This window comes from Homo sapiens, chromosome 9 (assembly GCF_000001405.40).
Source record: "Homo sapiens chromosome 9, GRCh38.p14 Primary Assembly".
Taxonomy (NCBI): domain Eukaryota; kingdom Metazoa; phylum Chordata; class Mammalia; order Primates; family Hominidae; genus Homo; species Homo sapiens.
Genome location: NC_000009.12, coordinates 86,790,478 through 86,793,557, shown reverse-complemented (window position 1 = coordinate 86,793,557; position 3,080 = coordinate 86,790,478). Strand labels below are relative to the sequence as shown.

Here is a 3,080-nt window from a genome sequence, read left to right as displayed (position 1 = left end):
ATTTCTTGGATTTCTATAATAATTAGATTATCAAAACATAGCTGAAGTTCCTACTAAAATTTTCAAAACTAGCCCAGGACAAGAGGAGCAAATCCTGAACTGGTAGAGTTTGACTTCCAGGTCACCCATCAAGCTCCTGGGAACCGCCTTTTTTTTCAGAGGCACTTTCTCTACTTTCTTCCCATAGTAATCAAAGAATGAGATACTCACTCTTAAATGAGCTTTCCCCTTCAGGCATCTTTTCTATTTGAAAAGGGAGTTAAGGCATAAACTTTCTTCAACTCAAAGGGATGAATCTCTCATGTAGGCCATGGATAAAGAAAATTTTGTGGGGCACAGGGGCTTCTGACAATTATGTCATGAGAGTGTTTTCCAATACTCAAAGAATAGCATTAGCTAAAGTAGTTGCTAGAGGTCAGTGATGTTTACGGAAGGCCTCAATATATTGTCCAGCCATGTATTGTATTCCCAACCGAGTTCCACCATAAGACTTCTGAACAATAGCTAACAGGCAACTTGTGGTGGTTTCCTAGGGCTCCCTTAACAAGATAACACAAACTGTGTGGCTTAAAACAAGAGAAATTCATTATATTACAGTTCTAGAGGCCAGAAGTCTGAAACCAAGGTGTCAGCAAAACCATGCTCCTTCCAAAGCCTCTAGGAGAGTATCCTTCCTTGCCTCTTCCAGCCCTGGACTTTCTTTGGCTCCTGGCAGCATAACTTCACTCTCCACCTCTGTTGTCACATGGCCGCCTTCACCCCATTTGTCTCTATATGGCCTTCCCTCTCTGTGTGTCTCTGTGTCCAAGTTTTCTCTTCTTCTAAGGACATCAGTCACTGTAGGTTAAGACCCATCCCAATGACCTCATCTGAACCCAGCTGTATCTGCAAAGACCCTATTTTTAAATGAGGTCACACTCACTGGAACTAGGGGTTAGGACTTCAACATATATTTCTGGAGTAGACACAATTCAACCCATGACATGCTCCTAGACATAACAACTGAAGAAGAATGAAGACCAGGATCATATCCTACAGGGCAACCCTTAGTTCCTCCTTGATAGAAAGATGTAATTCAACCTTGAAAAGCCAAGGACAAATAATTCTAGACAACTCTAGAGACTCTAGATGGCTCTAGAGTAGTGAAAAGATGGGTCATTCCATGTCTGCCTCAGTCATGGAATGACTGTAAATAAGGAACTATAAAGCTCACCTGCTCTACTTTTCTCTGCAGAGCCACGTAAATGTGAGTCATCACAAATTATGATTCACCTCTGAGTCACCCTGAGACAGGGCTAGAGAAGATGACCCTGGGACCCTCGATTGTATCTTGGATCATTTCAGCCCAATCTTGTTTTTATTAGCAATCAGAGCTAAAATTCTGCATCGTGGCACAAGTGGAAAGGTGTACTTTTTAAACACCACAGTTGAAAACCATATAGATGGGTTCCAAGAAGGAGGTATGTGATCCTTGAAGGCAGGAATTATGTTAAACTCATCTTCATAGACCAATGACCTGACAGGCACTCAAGGAAAGCTTGATTAATAAATAAAGGCCCTTTTTACTGGGAGCTTACAGATATTAACTGACTTGCCAAGGAGTCAGAATCAGGGATTTGAACTCAGGTCTTCTGCATCCCCACTGGGAAGTCTTTACATCATACCAGAGGTTCACCAACTTTGGCAGGCAGGAAACCTCTGGAGGTTGGGAGGGCTTGTTAAAACACAGATTGATGGTCTCCATCCCTTGATGAGAGCCCCTGTGTAAGGGTGGCCCCCATGTGCATGGCCCCCATGACTGGGTCTTCTGAGTCAGTAGGTCTGGAGGGGGGCTGATCATTGACACTGCTAACAAGTTTCAGGTGATGCCAATGCTGTTGATGGAGGGCCACACTTTGAGGACCACTGTGCACTGCTGAATATTAGGGTCACCTGGAGAGCTTTTCGATTTCATTGACCTGGGACAGGGCTTGGCCACTGGCAGATCAAGAAGCTCACCTGGGGATTCTGATGTGCAGCCTGAGCTGGAGGCTGTCCTTTGCTCCTCAGCCACCTAACAATCTGACTCTGGTGTACATCGACCCCCAGTTCCACTTGGGAAGAAGCAAGAGAATTGTTACTATCTGAGCACAACCAGGGCATGCTTGCCACCACAGTTCAGCTTCTTCCCATCCCATACCCCTCAACTCACTGCGACTCTGTCCTTCAACCATTCTCTTAAGTGAAGGGAAAGAAATCTCTAAGAAAATGTATTCACACTCTGTGGGCAATGAGAAGGGATCCAGAAAGTAAGACAGACTTGTTTACCTGTTTATCTGTTTCACCCCAGACCCCACAGTCAGGCACAGGATCCCCCTAGGGGTTGTTTCAATCCCTCACCTAACTAGCTGGGCACTTTCTCCTGGCTAAACTTGCAAAGTAGCCATCCTCCCAGTTAGAATTAATTTGCCCCTCAGATTGCTCACTGCACTTCGTTCCAACTTTACATATTCTATCTGGATGGAGTAATTTATACTTACTACTACCGTCACCCATTACCACCCCGTGGAATCCTAGGAAATGGGAACCTCAATTTGTATATCTTAGCATTCCTCCATAAACCCTAGCTCAAATCTTGTGCATAGTAAATTCTCTAGTCCAGTACTGAATTGGATTCAGCTCGGGCTTTAATCTCTGTTCCTAATATGAGCTATGCCAAGGGATAGACATTTTATTAGTCATTTATACTTTAGTATGAATGTGTTTTCATCCCTTTCGTGAGACTGTGTTATAAAAATTACACAGCACAAGTGTATGGTGACAGGGATGGGAAGGAGGAATTGCAATAACAACAAGTTCCATTGATCAGCTTTCCCCTCCACTCTCAGGAAACGTGAACTCTGTTGAGGCATGTGGCTCATCCTGCTGCCCGTGAGCTAGTGACTGAAGTGGGTTCAAAACTAAAGGCTTGCCTAAGTAATGATTATTTTTCAAGAATTACATTTTAGTGTCCCTCATTAGCCCCCCGAATCATTCTCCTTCTCTCTGGCAAATTCTTACCCAAAGCGCTCTCACCCAGCAATGATTCCTTCTTCATTGAA

General features: G+C 44.0%; 1 annotated feature.

The window, feature by feature from the left end:
- Nucleotides 717-1,916: an enhancer, noted in NCBI's record as "BRD4-independent group 4 enhancer chr9:89406557-89407756 (GRCh37/hg19 assembly coordinates)". NCBI's record gives its function as "activates an origin of replication core promoter dependent on BRD2, P300/CBP, MED14 and CDK7 cofactors, and independent of BRD4, by STARR-seq in HCT116 cells {active_cell/tissue: HCT116}" and the evidence as "EXISTENCE:reporter gene assay evidence [ECO:0000049][PMID:35650434]".